The 19203-nt window shown below is 41.9% G+C and overlaps 1 protein-coding gene across 6 annotated transcripts in view, besides 1 other annotated feature; it reads left to right on the top strand.

Moving 5' to 3' along the window:
• The window catches only part of FGF12 (fibroblast growth factor 12), a 588152-nt gene that overhangs the window by 302373 nt on the left and 266576 nt on the right, over window positions 1-19203 (top strand). Inside the window, exon 1 of one of the 6 annotated variants that reach the window (NM_001377294.1) lies at window positions 15572-15657. The exons of 4 other annotated variants lie outside the window; for them this stretch is intronic. Coding sequence is in view for 1 of the 2 variants with exons in the window: in NM_021032.5 (NP_066360.1) it covers window positions 16946-17144 (199 nt within the window). In the remaining variant the exon portion in view is untranslated. Of the gene's footprint in view, window positions 1-15571; window positions 17145-19203 lie in introns of those variants that run through there. One more of the 6 variants, NM_021032.5, reaches the window with a different exon arrangement.
• Window positions 7554-8271: an enhancer, noted in NCBI's record as "OCT4-NANOG hESC enhancer chr3:192134687-192135404 (GRCh37/hg19 assembly coordinates)". NCBI's record gives its function as "activates a minimal SCP1, AML or CMV promoter by ChIP-STARR-seq in naive H9 embryonic stem cells {active_cell/tissue: H9 hESC(naive)}" and the evidence as "EXISTENCE:reporter gene assay evidence [ECO:0000049][PMID:30033119]".

The following is a 19203-nucleotide window of genomic DNA, read 5'->3' as shown; positions in this document are numbered from 1 at the left end:
TGATAAGCAGTTTGGCATGTGGTAAGTGCCCAATGACTGAGGGATGGATGTAAAAGGAAAAGCACATAAATGCTTTGGTAGAAAAAGTTGGCAGGAGACCGCTTTTCTTCCTCTCCTTCACCAGTTCTTACCTTAGCATTTTAAAATTTTATACACACATATATGCAGTATACATATAAAACAACAAATATGTGTATGCATGACAACTCACCTTGTATGCATCTTGTATGTAGGATGTATCATATTTTATAAACATATGTATATTGTATATGCATAAAATTATAAAATGCTGAGGCAAGAAGACTGGTGAAGGGATAAAAAACATGGCCTATTGCAAAGTTTTATTATAGGTAAACAAAGAAATTGGTAAGATGTAAAGATACGTGTGTGTGTTTGTGTGTGTGTCTCTCTGTGTGTACGGTGAATCATTGCTAAGAATAAACGTTGTTTATAGACTCTCCTCCTGTGGCATGTGATTCAAATTATATATATTCAGGACAAGGGCAAATTCATATCTTCATGAAATTTTCCCTAGACTATAGTTGTTTTAAAAGATAACTTGCAGGTTAATGAATACTCTAGCACTGAGTTGCAAGTTTTGTGTTTAATTGAATCCTTGAAGCCAAGATGCACAAGGGGTGAACTAATTAAAGAAATTAGTTATGTGACTATCAGATGCTGCAACATCTAACACATATATTAAAGGCAATGCCTGTCTTGAAATTACCTGGTGGAGAAGATCCTGAGGCAAAGTTTGCATCCTGCCTTTCAGCTCCTATGTATTTTTGGCATGGTGCACCAGATGTTTTGCAAACAGCACTACCTGGTGAAGAAAATTCTCATTAGCATTACAAATAATTCTGTATTTTGATGATACTTCTATGGTTACAAAAAGAATTATGACTCTCTTTTCCTATGCAATAAACCAGTGTGAGAAATTCCTACTGTTCTAAGGAATCCTGTTTTATTTGAAAATAGATGTCAGATGAACAGGATCTGGGGAAGTGGCCAGTGAAGAAATGCTTAGCTTATATGCTAACTGGGGACGTTTTGGGGAAAGCATTAATAGTCTTTTTTTTTTTGAAGACTTTATAATTCATTTGATCTGACGTGAAACAAATTTAAAGAGGGCGGGGTGAAGAAAAGGTCCGAAGAAGAAAATAAATTTCAAATTTCGGAGATCAGAGCTAGAATGCTAGTGTGACCTTGGACCACTTCCTCAGCAGCCTGAGCTTCTCTTTATGCATCTATAAATTAGGCATATAGTGAGTGTTGATAATAACTAGTAACTGTCTTACTGAGTGGTTGTGAGGCTTGAATGGGAAGCTTCTATAAACTGTGTCATTTTGTACCTACTAGCTTTTGTTAGAACTTTTTTAAAAAGCCTAAAATATAGTCTTTAATAGAAAAATTAAACCTTATACCAGAGAAACCACTGATCGTAGAATCAGGAGGCCTAGGCTGTGTTTCTGCTTAAGCTACCAAGAACTGTGTGACCTAAAGCATGTTGCACCTTTCTTGGTCTTCAATTTCATAATCTTTAAAATGAGGGCATAAGCCTGAATAATTCTTAAAGTTCTTTCCATTCCAAGTATTGTATGTGGTGATTCCATATCTAAATCTTTGCACGTAAATCTTTGTCATGAGAGTCTGTTGTATTCATTTTGGAAATGATCTTAAGAAACAAAAAGTTTAAGCTGTTTGCCCAGGCTCTCTCAATAAGCTAACAGCAGTTATACATTAGAATGAAAAACCCGAGAATTTAGCGACTTAATGCTGTGTTAAGTCGCTCTTCTAGATACATACTTATAAAATGGCTCCCTAAGATGGAACACTCCAAAAAGAAAATCAGAGGTTGGTATTTTATGCCAATATAATTTCTAAAACACTCACACATTTTAGTGGCTCTAGGAGAATTGCTTAGCAAAGCTATACATACTTTAATTACACAAATTATGCAACAGGGGGCTCTCTAACAAAAAAGAAAATTAGTGAGCCACACATTTAGGCCTGATTCTGCTTCAGAAGCAGGATTAAGTCTTACCCACAATTTTCAAGGAAGTAGAAGTGAGATGCTATGCTATTACAGGGCTCAGTTAGGATTATAAACTCACGGAGCTGTCATATCAAGGCTTACTTAGAAGATTTTCCGGTATTTGGAAGGGGAAAGCATGGGCTTGCTCCCAACTCTTATAGCTGAGAGCATTCTTCACATCAGGTTTTCCCACCCTGCCCAGCCACATGTTTTCTTTGCATATAGAACAAAAAAGAAGAGCTATCATAGCCATCACTAGCACCAGAACTAGCACCCTTCCTCTCCTACTACACTGGGACCACATAACTGAAATGTGATTCATCAATTACTAAGAGGCTGAACCCAAACTTGCTGAGTTCAAATCATGGTCATTCCCTTTGACAGCTGTATAACCTTAGCCAAGTTACTTTTTTTTGTTCCTCTGTTTACGTGTTGACAATAATACCCATTTAATAGGGTGGTTGTGATAATAAGTTGATACATATAAAGTGCTTAGACCAGTTCCTGGTAAATGATAAGCACTTGAAAAATGTTAGCTTTAAATAATATTGCCTTTATCCAGAGTTATAGAGAAGGGCTTTGTGGCACAAGATTAATGAGTCAGGTTTAGTTCTTCTGGGGACTGAGGGAATCTAGCCAATGGCCTGGGGAAAGAAGGATAACCAATGCTCTTTTCACTTTAGTTAACTACTCTGAAGTTACTTTGGAAGATGACAGAAAATGCTTCCTACTTTGTTTTGTTTAAGTAATATGATGTCGGTGAGCACTATATTTAGAGTCATAGAATTTTAGAGTAGAAAGAGACCTTAGCAATCATCTGGTTAATCTCATTTTAAGAATAAGGAAATAGAGACCAAAAAAGAGGAATAATTTGTTCAAAGTTCCGTACTGAGTAAGTAACATCAGAATAAAAATTCAGCTCAGGCTAGAAACAAATCCATTAGAATGTATTTCCTCTGTTGACTCTCCTCACTATAGAATTATCTCTGTCTTTTATCCAAATTATTACAAAACTGTTCACCAACAGTTATCTAAGATTTCTTATCTATATAGAAATTGTACACAGGAAAAAAAAATACCAAAAGCCAAAAAAAAATAAACTAAAGCAAAAACCTTTGAAGTCCAACTATGACAGGGACAGCTTTATGTTGTTTTGGGCCATCTCCCCAGTTAATAGACATCTTCATATTTCTTTCCTTCACCACCACCACCACTTATTCAGAGATAGAGGAATTCAGTTTGAACTAAAATTGGGAGAACTTAGCAGCTTCAAGAGAGTTTCGTTGAGATGAGTCATTTACTCTTTTTTTTTTTATTATACTTTAAGTTCTGGGGTACATGTGCAGAATGTGCAGGTTTGTTACATAGGTATACACATGCCATGGTGGTTTGCTGCACCCATCAACCCGTCACCTACATTAGGTATTTCTCCTGATGCTATCCTTCCCCTGGCCCTCCATCCCCTGACAGGTCCTGATGTGTGATGTTCCCCTCTCTATGTCCATGTTTTCTTATTGTTCAACTCCCACTCATAAGTGAGAACATGTGGTGTTTGGTTTTCTGTTCTTGTGATAGTTTGCTGAGAATGATGCTTTCCAGCTTCATCCATGTCCCTCCAAAGGACATGAACTCATCCTTTTTTATGGCTGCATAGTGTTCCATGCTGACAATCTTTGCTACAGCTACTAAAGCCATTTTTTTTTTTTCAAGTAAGCAGTCACATTGAAAATATTTGGGTACTCTAGACTATATACTTTTTTTTCTTATTGTTTAGACTCTCTAAAACTGAGTGTCACACATGGTTCCAGAACCCTTCCAAAAGTAATCTTCATTAAAGGACTTAAATCATAAAGATCATCAGTTATTCTTTTAACAATTTCTCATTTTATGGATGAGTAAATTGATGTACAGAGGTTAAGTGACCTTTCTATGGTCACACAACTTTCTCACCTACTGGTGGAACACATGCTTACTTTCTAATTTTAAAGATAATACTGTGCATGGAGTCAGTTAAACATTGTCAAGCAGGAAATGGGATGGTTGCCTTTTAAAGCTCCTAACTTCATGCATGTAGTGGCCACTGTCGATTCTCGTCGAATATCTCTCCACCCCCTTCATTGTGTTTTGTAGCATTTTATTGATAAAACATTTTGTAAGACTTTTTTTTTCCAATTTGTAGTCAGTTTTCTCCAATTGGTTTTGAGTTTTTCCAAATTGTGATTCTTGTTTTTCTTCCTGACAAATGAAATCAAAGATACTATATGATGAGCTGTGAGTGTGTACTGAGATTTACGTATTTCTTTCTTTTTGCCAATAATTAAGTGTAGCAGCCCATTTGATGTTGCTAAAAACAAATACCTGAGGTTGGGCATTTATAAAGAAAAGAGGTTTATTTGGCTTGTGATTCTGTAGATTGTATAAGAAGCATGGCACCAGCATCTGTCTCTGGTGAGAGCTTCAAGAAGCTTTCACTCACAGCAGAAGGCGAAGGGGGAACAGCTAGTGCCACATGGCTAGAGAGGGAGCAAGAGAGAGAGGGGGTACACCCCAGACTGTTTTTAACAATTAACTCTCACATGAACTAACAGAGTGAGAACTCACTCATTACCGTGGAGAGGGCACCAAGCCATTTATGAGGAATCTGCTCCCATGACCCAAACACCTCCCACCAGGTCCCACCTCCAACATTGGTGATCATATTTCAACATAAGAGTTGGAGGGGATTAACATCTGAACTACATCATTGAGTCTCCAGATTTCTCTGTGATTACTTTTAGTGGAATTGGTAGATCTCGTGGGAAATAACCATGACTGCAACTTAAAGTAAGTATTTCCTTTTCACACTCTCTAATATGAGCCTAACACTTAACCTGCAGAAGGCCTGATGTGAGGGAACCATAGCAGAGCTCCTAATAGCACGATTTCCACCCCCGACCATTTTCCTTTGGTTCTGTGCTCACCTTTAAGCTCATCGGCTTTTGGTTATTTTGAGGTGCCTTACCCCAAACTGGGATCTTTCCTACACAAGAATCCAAAAGAGTCAATGACCATCTTCCATAGAATCCACTGTAGTTTTGACGAACAACCTAGTAGCTTTTTACCCTGGCCTTTCCAGGGGAGCTTTCCTCACATACAACTTAATAGGTTAATATGTTTTCTTTTTCTTATTCTCAAATACCACAACTCAGAGGAACATTATCATTTAGGTTTTCAACCATGTGTTAAAAATCTACTTATTTAATCAATTATGCCAGCCTTTACAATACACATTTGATGCCATATAGAAGTGTTTAGCTCTGTGCTTTCTTTCCGGGTTAGTAAAGATGTGCTTTCCGTGACTATCTCCTTGAATCTTCCATCCTTCTGTCATTTCTCCCACATCCCCAGCAATCAGTTTCATTGTTGATTCATGATTCCTTATTTTCCCTTTTTTATGTCCTTTAAAATGAACAAAAGTTTTCCCAAGTATTGCCTTGGATGCAGCCTATAATGATTTTGATTCACTCTCCACCCCCAGCAATGCTGACCTTAATCATTTTATAGAATACCTGTCTGATTTCTTGAAACCCACTTCCCATGGTATTGCTCCTGATCTTGAGTGGAAAGTCTCTGATGGTGGGAAAACCACTTCCTCATTTTGCGATGTAATCTATTCCATGGGTGGAAGAGAGGCATCCAAGTTTGCCTCTACACACACAGGATATCTTGTTCTTAGTGTGAATCTCTTGCACACACACAATACTCAAGTTCTTCAAACACTTGAACATAGGCCTCACTTTCCTCAGTTTCTCTTTCCCCAGCTCTATTTGTTAACTAGTATTTCAAATGGGGTCATGATCAACAAGGAACAAACAGCAGGGATGCCCCTGACTTAGACTGTGGGTGGCCCTAAATGATGTTATCTTACCTGTTTTTAACACTTCAAGAATATGAATTGTCCTCATAAGTTCATTTTGTGGATTCATCATCCTAAAAAAAGTCATGAAGAGAGCTTTGGATTTGGAGTGAGCTAAACTAGATTTGAATTCTGGACCTGACCCCATATTTCAGACAATTAATCAACTTTCTATGACTTTTAGCTTTCCCACTGTAACATGTGAATAACAGTGTTGGCCTTGCCAGGGTTATTGTGAGGATTAGGTAAAATAACCTGTGTAGGGCCCAGGACTGTGCATGGTATGTAGAAGGTGTCTAATAAATCTTAATGTCCATATTAGTCTGTTCTTGCCTTGCTATAAAGAACTGCCTGAGACTGGATAATTTGTAGAGAAAAGAGGTTTAATTGGCTCACGGTTCTGCAGACTGTACAGGAAGCGTAGCTTGGGAGACCTCTGGAAACTTAAGATCATGGTGTAAGGCAAAGAGGAAGGAGTCACATCTTACATGGCTGGAGCAAGAGCAAGAGAGTGAGGGGGGATGTGCCATATACTTTTAAACAGTCAGATCTCATGAGAACTCACTGTCACAAGAACAGCAAGAGGGAAGTCTGCCCCCATGATCCAATCACCTCCAACCTGGCGCCTCCTCAAACACTGGGATTACAATTCAACATGAGATTTGGGCACGGACACAGATTCAAACCAGATCAATGTCCCTTCTATTCCCTACCCTATCCTTCGTGTCCCTCAAACACTTTTAACCTATAATTGGAACGCAGAGTTTTTTGATATTTTTCTGTGGTTCAAAGGATTTGCCTGAAATTATATAAGGACTTGGTAAGGAAAACCCAACAACTTCTTGACTGACATCATACTGTTAATTCTCCATAGTCTGTGTTGAACGAGTGTCTTGTAGTGAGGACTAACTCACCCCAGAGATACAGCTTGGAGACTCTAATTAATTATGTTTGTTATTTCTATGGTGCTGCGTAGTATGTAGCTCCTGGCCTAAGCATTGACATATTAACTTTTTTATTAATTACCGGCAGCAAAAGAGAGACTGAATAGGAACATTAACATAAGACTTTATTGAAAGCCAGTGTGTAACAAAGAAAATTACAATGTGGAGAGTAATTTGCATCTAACATCTACATAACTTGATATAGTTCACTCTTTGGAGTCCACAACTCCAGACTAATATCTTAAAATAATCCCTATGAGATTGTTTTCCTGTGCAGTTCCTGGCTTAATTCTGCTTGGTAGAGGATTTCTTCCTTTGTCTGTCAGCACAACCATAAACATGGGCAAATTATTCAAAATCCAGGCACAAAAGAACAAGGCACATCCTCTTTTTTGAGTTTAAATGCACCTTCCAAGGCTCAGATCTCTTAGCTGTTGCCTGAAACTATGATGTTTCCCTCACTTAGGGCATAACCTTTCCCTTCCCTAGAGTGGTGTGGGTTTACCTTAGGGTTTTATCAGGGTTGCAGCAGGGTTTTATCAAGGGTTCAGTATCTGCTAGATGTACAAAGGAGATAAGGGAAACTCTCCTAGATTAAAACCATTTGTTTTTTACCATATTTATCAAACATTTATTTCTTGTTTTAATAGCCACTACTTAACTGATGCTATCAGAGATCAAAGGTGATTCCACTATTAATAAAAGCATGCCTAGGGTTTTGCTTAAGGTGACATTGAGATTATTCTTATTCATCCTGAACATTTATTATTTTTAAGTCAAAGTTAAAAATCAACACATGCTTACAGTGTCTATCTTATATTCCAAACACTATACTACGTTCTTACAGGAGGAACAAAAATTCTAAGTCAGATTCTTACCCTTAAATTCTGTGTCTACTCTTATACACAGATCATTTTTAGCATTTTTTTTTTTTTTTGGTAATGAATTCTACTTCTCTTGGCATGAAGTCAACATTCTTTCCCTGCCTTTTGTCCTTACAAAATAATAAACGCTTTTGGTTACTTATCTTTTAAAGGCCAGTTACGGCTATTTCCTGGTCATGGCCTTTTAAAGAAATGAGAGAAAGAACTGTCAAAATGCAATGAGGATCATGCTGTTTTTCCATTGCCATGCCATTAGCATACTCAACCAACCAGGAGACAATTTCCAGCCTACTTTTAAATAAATCTCCTCTCTTAAACTGTTGCTAGCTTACTACAATGTGTATACATTACCTAGAGTAGGCTGATGACCTCATGAGATCCCTTGCAGTTAACACTGCAAGTTTAAATATGATTATCCTGTCCAAAACATTGGAAAAATATTGTTTCTTCCTGCTGCAAATACTGTTTAAAGAAATATTCTTATACATTATCTTATACCTGCTTTTCTGGATAGCTGAGCACCAAAATGCATACCTATCTATATCTATCTGTCTGTCTGTTTTGGCTGTAGACTTCGCAGACACACAGACATCTACATCAATGCCTCCTTGATGTCATGTTGCAGGTTGGATTAGTGGCTAATACTAGGCACAGGGGAATATTGTTTTATGTAAAAATTACTTTTAAGTGAGTGACGGATTTTTATTACATGCTTTCATGTACTATCCTAGAATTCTTCAATGTTTTTAATCTGCTAACAAGCTCTCCACATCTTGTTAAATTTTTATTGGGAGCAATTTCGCTTAGCCTAACAATGCTAATTTAGGGATATTTAAATGAAATATGCTGTATTTCCTCCATACAAACATCTGTCCACTCATCTGCTGATCTGTTCATTCATTTATTCATTCACACTTTTTCTCATTTCACAAATCAGTGCCATAATTTCAACCTATTATTTTCACCAATTTAGGTCCTATAATGTAGTTGTTTCACAGGCAAATAAACTTCAACTCAGGCAGACGAAGTAGCTTTATGTAAGGACAACTTATCTACTCTAAATTGCATACTCTTTGTACTTAACATTTTACTCTTAGAGAATTCTACAAAATTAGGACAAGAAATGTCCTATTGGTCACCTTGTCCAAACTTCCATTTGATCCTCTGACAGATTTTTTCTAATCAGTTAGTATATTTCAGTTATCTCCAGTAAAATCTTACTCAACATCAGATACCTGTGAATGCAGGATCAGTGAGATCTCTCATTAATTGTCTCTTACTTTCACAGTGTCTGGTGCTGTGTGCATGCAGAGGACAAAAATATGAATTTATTGTGGTTTTAATAGTATATTTTGAGTGTCAGTCATGTGCTGGGTGCTGTAAGAGACTGCTATTTCAACAAGATCCATTCCCTGAAAATTTGGAATCTAAATTTAGAAATGAGAGCAACTAGGAATGGCCCATGGAGAAAGAATCTCAGTGAACATGGGTGACAGTATGAATGTGAAGATTATTAAACCATTTTAAGGTCATTTTAGTCATATTCTGAGATTTTAAAGTTGCCTACTCATTTTACCTGATGTCTGTGGCTCTCTGTTTGCCTTATTATATTCCTTTTCTTCTGTGAACATGAGTGTGTGTGTGTGTGTGTGTGTGTGTGTGTGTGTGTGTGTGTGTGAGAGAGAGAGAGAAGAGAAGTATCAGAACTGAAAATATAGGCCTAGATATGGGGATGGGGGTGATCAGAGCAGAAACCTAGGTACCATGTACCCTCTGAGGATATCAGATTTAATATTTAGGCAGAGAATTTTAGGGAGTGTTGATAAAACAAAACAATCAACTTTGGAAATGTGGAGGCTACCCTTGAGTTACCTGAGCTTATTTCCTGATACAAAGAGTTGATACCCCATTCTTCACTTTGGGATGACCCATGCATCTATTTGGCTCAAAAATCTGGGTGGATGGATTGATGAATTAATTCATTTATTTGAGTATTTTTTGAGTATCTGGCTATGTGCAAAGATTATTTTAAGCACTAGAGATAAGAAAGTAAACAAAATAGACAATGGCCCTGTCCTTATGGGTATTACATTCAAATAGGGATCTTCTAGCCGAGTTTCTCTTTGAAAAGGAAAAGGTGCCACTGGGTTAGTGACAGTGGGACTTAGAGTAGGGCTAAAATGATGGGCGGTCTGTTGTGACAGGTCTTTCAGCATCCTTAACCCAGCTATGAAGGAAAATAACCAAGTATCAACCATCTCCTAGGTGGTATAAGCCAAACCAATGTACATTTTTAAGGAATGAAAATGGAGGAAATTTATATTTTTCCCCTTATAAGCTTCTTTACTTTCTGTTTTAACTTAGTTTCCCTTTGATTTTCTTATTGAGCTCGACTTGAATTACTAAACTAAGAAGGAGAGTGTTTCAAGACCACCCTCCTAGAACCAAAGAAAACATAGTACCCTATCTTGGCCAACAATAGTAAAACCAGGAGTAGCTTCCTCATCTAGAAAAAGGAAAGAGCTTCACGGGGAGAGAATTGGGGATACTTGTTTCCTCTCCCTTCCAACACAAAATGATCTCTTCAAGGTCATTCACAAGATGTGAAACCATGTTAGAAGCTAGTGAATGGAAGTACATTTGGCATTCTCATTTTTCCCCTCCAGGTTACTTTAGTTAGGGCAGTAGTCACATTGAGGTTAAAAGGCCTGGATTAAACTCATAGATCTTCACTCATTGATTGTATGACCTTGGGCGATCACATTACTTATTGGAGTCTCAGCTTGTGAAACTGAATTATTATTTTCCCTTTAGCTTCCATCATAAGATTGTTGAAGAGTCTCAGTGAGATAATACATGAGAAGATGATTTGTAATTAGTAAAGAGTTACATAAATGTATGTGATCTGCACATTCTTATTTTATTGACTTTATTACATGATTGTAATTATTCATGGTGTTTTGTTTTTGTTGACATGCGTATAGCACAGAGGTAAAAGGGAAACTCTGGAAATAAATTATATGGGTGTGAATCTGAACTCTGGCAATTCTTAGCTGGGTGACCTTGGTTAAACAACTTAACCTCTCTGTCCTGGTTTCTTCATTTATAAAATGGCGATATGACAGAACTTACCTCATAGAGTTGTTGTAAGGATTCAATGTGTCAATAATTGTAATGCACTTATAAGTGTGTAGGGCACTTCTCATTGGCTCACATTAATTACATCTATGTTTCTTATCAAAATACCTATTCTCCAGAACATTGAAAATTTCCCTTTTTGGGCAATGATACCACCCTTCATCTATGTCATAAAGAGGAATTAAATCTGTTCTCTTTTCTGTTTTGGAAGATGATCAAAACCAGATGGACATATAACATGTAGTAATTCAGTTGTCGAATTGTTGAATAAAGCACCATGAATAAATTTGCTATATAAAGGAATTTACAAATTATTAGAAAGTAGTTCTTTATATTGCTTTTGTCAGCCTACTGTAACTGACAATATGTCAGAAAAAAGCAAGTGGAAATACAGCTACTTTATATAATAAAATTCATGGAGAAAAGGTCTTCTTCCATTTGCTGTGGCAGAGCCCAGTGAGCTCATATTCACCCGACTTTGAGTCAGGGGCCTGATCTCAGAGCAAGATGATGTATGAGCAGAGCTAGACTTCTTTGTGTTCTCAAGACAAGGACACTGACAATATTCCACTAATGAAATTCTGTTTGCCATGACAATGTCAAGGTTAATCATTCATTTCAAGTAAATTTTCAGCCTTTGTTAAATACATTCCAAGAGTGAATGATGATGTGTATGAATCATAAGGTGTGTTTTCCTGTTTTAGGAAATCTGTATTTTATGGCAGGGACTTAATTTAAATGGAGATTTTAATAACAGCATGGTCATTCTCATACTTTACGTTATTATCACATCTTCTTTGAGTCTTTCAAGAGCCTAGTTAGGTACTGCTAGTATTATTATGTATCTATTTTGCAGATGTAGTTTAGAGAGGTTGAATAACGTGTCCAACAGCATACAGCTAGTGGGCGATTAAAACAAGAGCCAAGAAAGTTCATAATGTCATGAACTGGAAGCTTGTTGAGGGCAGAGAGAATGTGGAAGTGTCTGGAATTTCACGGTAACTGACAGAGCCCTGGATGTAATCTGTGGACAATGCAATGTTTAAAATGAATGTGTAAACTAGCCCTAATAGTAGATTTGGAAGTTGAAAGACTTGGCCTATGAATAAGCAAAAGACCAAAAAGCCTCTGTTTTTCCTTTTAAAATGTGGAGATAATTAAGACTGCCCATGTTTTTATTTGTTTGACTAGAGCCCAAAAACATAGACTATATATATATAACTAAATATAACTACATAATTATCATTTTGATGTGCATTTGACAATTTTCTTCAAAGTAATTAAAACTTCTTCCACTCATAATGTCTTCAGAATAGGAATAAGAAATTCTTAAGTTGTTCAAAGAAAGCATAAAAATCAAAGTATTGGTATCCCTGGGACATAACCCTTTAAATACCTGGTTGTTAGTTTAACCTAAATCATCAGTAGGTTGGCTTAATTTCATTCCTGATCCCAAAATGCAAAGATATTGGAAATGTACGAGTAACTGTGGAGAAAGACTTATGAGATTTAGTGGCCCAGGTAGGAAACCTACGAATTTCTATATATAAAATAAATTGATTTAAGCATTGCTTCTGAGCTCAATATCCATATATTTAGGTCTTAGCTAACTTCTTAAATTTCTTTATACTCACCTCTTCTCACTGGGGAAATGGAGTAAATTATGCTGATGATGACTTAAAAAGCCAAAAAGCTCTCTGACAATAGCTGCAGGAGTGCGAGGGAAAAAGTAGTCTTTGTTGTCCGATTGAATCCAAAACACTACATTCTTTTAATAGAGATCTAAACACAGAAAGAATGTTGCTCCCAGAAAGCTGACATTGTTTTTGTTCTGTTCTTTAAATGCCTAACTTGATGTTGTCAGGTTAAGACAGAGAGGAGAACTTCAAACAGCAACAGCTACCTGCCTTTTCATCTTTCCTCATAACTTCCTTCTCTCCTGTGCCTCTGTATTCGTTACCTTCTGCACCAGCACACCCTCATATCTCATAAACCTACAGAAAAAAATCAGCAACACAAAGACTAAAGAATACACATCCTCTTTCCAGGCCTTTTATAGGGGGCGCAGGGTGGCGGTGCACAGGACTGCAGTTCTGGAGAAATGTACTATATTTTACTTTTGTCTTCTAGTATTATTTATGTTGCAAACATACATTAAACTCTGACACTTTGACACCTGGAGAAATTGTGAAGAATTCAGATTCCCAGGCTCTACCCATACAGACTTCCACTTCGTGTTTTGAGAGACCATCAGGAATCAGCATGTTAACAAGCATTTCAGGTGAATCTCATGCATTTTCTTTGGAAAAAAAAAACCGGCCATATTTTATTCATTCATTTGGCATTTTCCAGTTTTCAGAATGCTTACACATGCATATTCACTTCTGCGAGGTAGATGAGAATGATTATCCCCATTTTGAGAATATAAAAGAGACTCCAAATTTAGCAATAATTTCCTCAAGTCCTCATTATACACCCCCTCTTGCCTATTTCTCTGGCTACTCCCCTTAGCTGACCTTTGTCTGTGTGGGTGTTTAATAGCAAGGACAGGGAGCCCCCAAAGCCCACTGTACTATCTGTGTCTGCCTTGCTCAAGAATGAGACAAGTCTTCTAGTAGCCAAGGAAGGAAAATAATTTTATCTGTGGAATGTGAATATTTTCCTAATTGATAGAATTACCAGTTGATGTTAAGTAATGCCCCTCACCCCATCCAGATGCACATATGGAAATGCATTCAGCCTTGCTTTTGGACCTGAGGTGTGTGTGTGCGTGTGTCTTTTTCACGTGTCTTGTTCTGTATTGCTAGAATTCCAAGGATATATCCACTGTCTTCATTCAGCCACATTGAACTGCTGCAGGGGATGTGTGCTTCCCAAATGACAGCTGGGATTCTCCCTTTCCTCAGGATGTCTTGCCTATTTAATCCTCCTCCCAGCTGTTTGTCCCATGAGCCTCTATCTGCCAGCCTCTGCTTTGCCCAGCTGGCAGCCTGGAAGGTCCAGGCCCCCGGGCATGGTAGGGTGTTAGACTCCTGCTTGATCTGAACAACGTCACAGATCTCAATCCTTCTTATTGCCCAAGTGAATCTTGGCTAGGCCCATAGGTTTGTGCTCATATCTAGAAAGCTCCTGGGTTCCCTCTGGGTCCCACATCCATTTTCAGTAGCTTCAGGGCCTGCATTTTCCTTGCCTTCTATTAGGATGTTGCCAACATACACCTGTCTGTGCTTGGAAATCATACATTTAATCCTTTCGCACTATCCTAGATGCTTCGTGAAGTGTCTGAAGGAGAGAGATTAGGGATATATGAAGAGAAATTGTAAGTAGAAACCAATAGCCGCTCCCAGACTTTAGCATAAATGGAGGGTGATTAATGCTTCATGCTGCATTTTAACTTGGAGAACTCCTCTGCCCAGTGTCTCCAACATCAGATGTCGTCACATTCACGTCTGGAGACCTGATTGCATTCCACAGCTTGTTGTTGACTGTCCTTGTCCACATCACTCCCTCGCCGCACCTGGAGTCATCCTCTGTGCAGGCTGCTTATTTGGGCTCTCTTTTTAGGGACTGAGCCTGCTTTGCAGCTTTCCAGACAGAACCAAGAAATCTGGGTTCCAAGAAGAAGGGAAACACTTTTTCCTGTTCCAAAATGAGCCATAGGTGGGGCCCACGATAAGGTCCAAGAGGTCATTTTTACTTTCTCCAGTGTTCACTTTCTTCCTAACTAAACAGAGAATTCTACGTGCTCAAGCTTATTGGAGAGAGTGTGGACTGCATTTTCTCAGCTCCCCCATCCCACCTCTTCTTTGCGCACCTAGGGTCCTTTAACTCCCACTGTGGTTGTGTTTCTCTTGTGGGAGGGACCGGACGGAGCAGACCCAAGCTGCAGTTCCCTCGCTCTGCCTCTGAGAATTTCTCATCCAAACCTCAATCACGTAGGATTGCGTAGAGAGGAGAAAAGGGGAGAGACAGAAGACACAGAGAGGAGGGAGAGGGGTGGCGGGAGGGAGGGAGGAAAGAAGGGAGTCTGGAAGCGGAGGGCTCCAGGAAAGGGAACCTGACTAGAGCGCGCTGTGCTTCCCAGCGCTCCAGGGGCCCGGCCCCCAGCTCGGCCCCACCTGGGCGCTCTTTCGCTCTTCCGTGGGTCGGCGGGCCGTGCGGGAGGAACTCTGGCTGCCGCGGGCTCTGCGTCCCACCTGCCATCTCGGTGGCTCTCGCCCGGGCCCCGAGTTTCCTGCGGAGCTAGCACTCCAGCTGAGCCAGCCGGAGGGGCGGCGGCGGCTCCGCGCGCCCAGAGCCTCAGCCCATGAATGGGACTCCACCCTGAGCGCCCCCTCCCGGGCCTGGGGAGGCGGCGGCGCGGCGGCGGGGGGCGCCCCGCAAGCCCGCGGCTCTGAGCGGCCACCCGCGCAGCAAGTTGGGCGAGTTGGCAGCCGCCTGCACCTGCCTCCTGGCCCCGGCCCCTGATTCCGCCTCCGGCCCCAAGCGCCCGGGTTGCGCCCTCGGCTGCCTCGCGAGGTAGCCCCAGGAGGCCTAGGGGCCCCGCCTGCGCCCCTGGCGCCAGACCATGGTGGGCAGCTCCGGCCAGGAGCCTCAGCCGCCGCGAGCCAACATCGCCTGCAGCCAGCCCCCGCCCCACCCGAGCGGACGCGCGGGTATTCGCAGCGCGCGGGTCACTTCCTTCCTCGGCCGGGATGGGCGGCGCGGGACTGAGTGATCGGCCTTGCGTCCGGCGGGTAATCCCCATCTGATCTGCTGCCTGTGAGCTGCTGACTGCCGGGGCGCGCGAGCCTAGGGGGCACGGGCAGCAGCGCGGCGATGACCTGATCCCGAGCCCGCCAGGGCGCCCCTTCCTTCCCTCCCTTCCCTCGCTCCCTCTGAGCCTGTGCGGAGACCAGCTCGGTGCGGCGGCCCCGGGTGGACCATGGCGGGGAGCTCCAGTTAAAGGCGTGTGGGCGCCGAGCTGGAGAGGACACCTTCGGCATCGCTGCCTTTTGAGGGGGCTTATTTAAACTACTGAGTCATTCCAGATTTAGGATTCCCTAAATAATCACCAACTGTGCCCGTCTCGTGCCGGAAAGCAAGCGGAAAGAGAAAGAGCGCCCACTCTTGGGACCCCGCAGATCGCCTCTCGCTGGTTTCTCCCCGAGGGGTGCTTGGCCCTCGAGGATCTCCCTCCCTCCCTCGCGCCCTCCCCCCTCCCTCGCCTCCCGCTCTCTTTGCAGTGCTGCTGGCCGGGAGTTGCTCTCACCGCAGCTGGAAACAGCTGCCCCCGCCCCGCGCCCCTACCCAGACTCCGGGTAACCGCTCCCACTTCGCGCCTCTCGGAATTCCAGAACTCGGGTGGCCGGCCCCTGGAAAGCCGCAGCCGGCGCGATGCATTCTGTAGACCTCACCCTGCTGGGACGGACCTCCTAATCTTCAGAACCGCGGGCCGCAGGGAGTTAAATTGCTGCCTTCCTCTCCTTCTCTCGTGCGGTTGGTGGCTTGTTTTCTAAAGGAACGTTTTATTCACTTTTTAGTATTTTCTACCGGGGGCGCGCTACCCGCCTGGGTCCAGACTCTGCTTTGTAAACGGGTTTTCTATGTATGTATGTGTAGGTATACTTTGGACACCTTACAACGCTTGCGCCTCTCCAACAGAGGCACGTCTTGTTATTTTGGGCATCGTTCTTCCCCTTCCACTTGGTACCCCGAACGCAGTGTGACTAAACTCCCCACTGCCCCTTGGACGCCGATCGCCTTGGGGTGCAAGTTTGGGGTGCAAACGTCTACTTCGCAAGAGGGCCTGGGACCGCCCCGCCCCGCCCCCCGGCCGCCAGAGGTTGGGGAAGTTTACATCTGGATTTTCACACATTTTGTCGCCACTGCCCAGACTTTGACTAACCTTGTGAGCGCCGGGTTTTCGATACTGCAGCCTCCTCAAATTTTAGCACTGCCTCCCCGCGACTGCCCTTTCCCTGGCCGCCCAGGTCCTGCCCTCGCCCCGGCGGAGCGCAAGCCGGAGGGCGCAGTAGAGGCTGGGGCCTGAGGCCCTCGCTGAGCAGCTATGGCTGCGGCGATAGCCAGCTCCTTGATCCGGCAGAAGCGGCAGGCGAGGGAGTCCAACAGCGACCGAGTGTCGGCCTCCAAGCGCCGCTCCAGCCCCAGCAAAGACGGGCGCTCCCTGTGCGAGAGGCACGTCCTCGGGGTGTTCAGCAAAGTGCGCTTCTGCAGCGGCCGCAAGAGGCCGGTGAGGCGGAGACCAGGTCAGTAGAAGCCCGGAGAGTGGGCTCCCCAGAGGGGACGCCCTCTTTCTCCCTCCTCAAAGCACCTCGGGACCCCCGTGGAAGGGAACCAGGATTCCTCTTTTACATTCTGACCCCTCTTCTCTCATTTCCAGACTTCTTTCAACCACTCTGTCAGTTAATAGCTTCTTGCCCCATATTCAGCAAAAACACTCTACTTTGATCAGTCCGGGGTTTGACCAGGAGAAGAATTACATGTATAGATGCACTTATTCCAAAAGAGCCTGTAGAGTCCTTGAGGGGAGTGACCACTTCATTCATTAATTCATTCATTCATCTCTTCTCTCTCTCTCCCGCTCTCCCATCCATCCATCCATGCATCTATCCGTCCATGCATCCATCCGTCTGTAGAGTACAGTACTTACGCTGCCCACTGAGGACCTAAAGATTAATACAGCCCTTCCCTTATCCCTCATAATCCATGATAGACACCTAGTAGACACCAGATGAACTTAAATTTATTATTTTTCCAACTCTTCCTCCAGCAACACTTGGCATTGCATCTTTCAGACGCCCTTGTCAATTTCTCACCTCTTCATTTTTCCCTCATGCTCTTTCACTTCCTTTACACAGTCTTCATTTTCCTATTATTTTCTTCCAACCCCTCTCATTGTTTCCAAGGACTCTGCTCATTAACGTTTCTGTCCTATTACCATACTTAGCACACTCACACTTTTGAGACATTGAGGGAACAAGACAGTATACACAGTTTGGCCTCAAGGAGTGTAAAGAAAACTTCAGCTTGATCAGAGATTTTCATGGCGTGGGCTTTCTGAAGCTAATTCTCTTCTGCAGCCCCGACCGCAGATGATTGCTTTTGGATGTGTCTCTACTTGCAAAGGGAAATTGGATACCCAAAGTTTTGACATGATGATTTCCAGGTCAAGCCAGGCCAGTGTACCCAGCTTGAGAGAATGGAAGCAGAATTGCGGAGAGATCTGTGCTTCCATCAGACTGTTGGTTTTCTGGGTTGTGGCTGCAGAGCCATTTGCATTCTGCAGATACTCTACCCCTATTGTGGACAACTGGAAGGAAATACTGTCTGGAAAGGGAGCCTGCCCTGTAATCTGTTGGCTAGTTTGTCTCTTTGCAACTCTGACTGTGGCGTGCTGTTGGTTTCCAGCAATGAAGTACATGGTTGGGTCCATTGGATGAAGGGCGACACTTGGGAAGTCTGGACAAGTCGGGCTCAGAATTAGCTCAGAAATTTGGGGTTAAGCCTTGTGAAGAAGCGACCCTGTTTCATTTTCCGTTGGGTTTTCATGACATTGTCCACTCCATACTAGGCTCATTTTCTTATTTTGTGATGATGATAAAGTGGTAAATTTCAGGAGTATACAAAAATAATTATGATCCCAAGACAGGAGCTATTAGTCTCTATTATTTTATGTCCAATTAGTATAGCATGTTCATTTTATAAAGTGAAGATTTATGCAATAGTTTGAATTACCTCTACAAAGTAACTCACCTAGTGGAAAATAAAATAACCTGTTCTGTTGTGGAGGGATAATTTGGAGGCCTTCTTTTCTTAGGGCTTATGTGGTCTACAGAGGACTTCAAGGTTCTGAACTCAATGTGACTTTTATATCTCAATCTCTGAAGTACGTGCTTGCACTCTAGTTGGGAAAATTATATGACGTTTTTGAGTTGATCCTAGTCAGCCTCTTCTAAAAAACAAGATAATAAGAATGATAGGTGGATATATGTGAACGGGTAACATAAACTGATCCTGATCTCTGGAGTTGACTTGGAGATGATCAATGGGTTACTTTTGCATGGCTTCATTTTGCATGGGAAGGAAGGACTGTATTTGCTGCTTCCTGTGGGCTCTTCCTTAGCATCTCATTAGAAAACAGAGATTTGAGGCAGTTTCTGAGTTTATTGTTTTCTTCAGTGTTCGTTTAATTTGCCTCCCTTTTTGTTCTACACAGTGTTCATCTTATCAGAGAGGATCCTGACTGGTGACTTCCTTTAGCTAAAGTGTCAAAATAACAATCTGGCAGAGAGATGGCAGGACCTA

This window comes from Homo sapiens, chromosome 3, assembly GCF_000001405.40.
Source record: "Homo sapiens chromosome 3, GRCh38.p14 Primary Assembly".
NCBI classification, from domain to species: Eukaryota; Metazoa; Chordata; class Mammalia; order Primates; family Hominidae; genus Homo; species Homo sapiens.
This window is presented reverse-complemented; position numbering and strand designations above follow the sequence as displayed.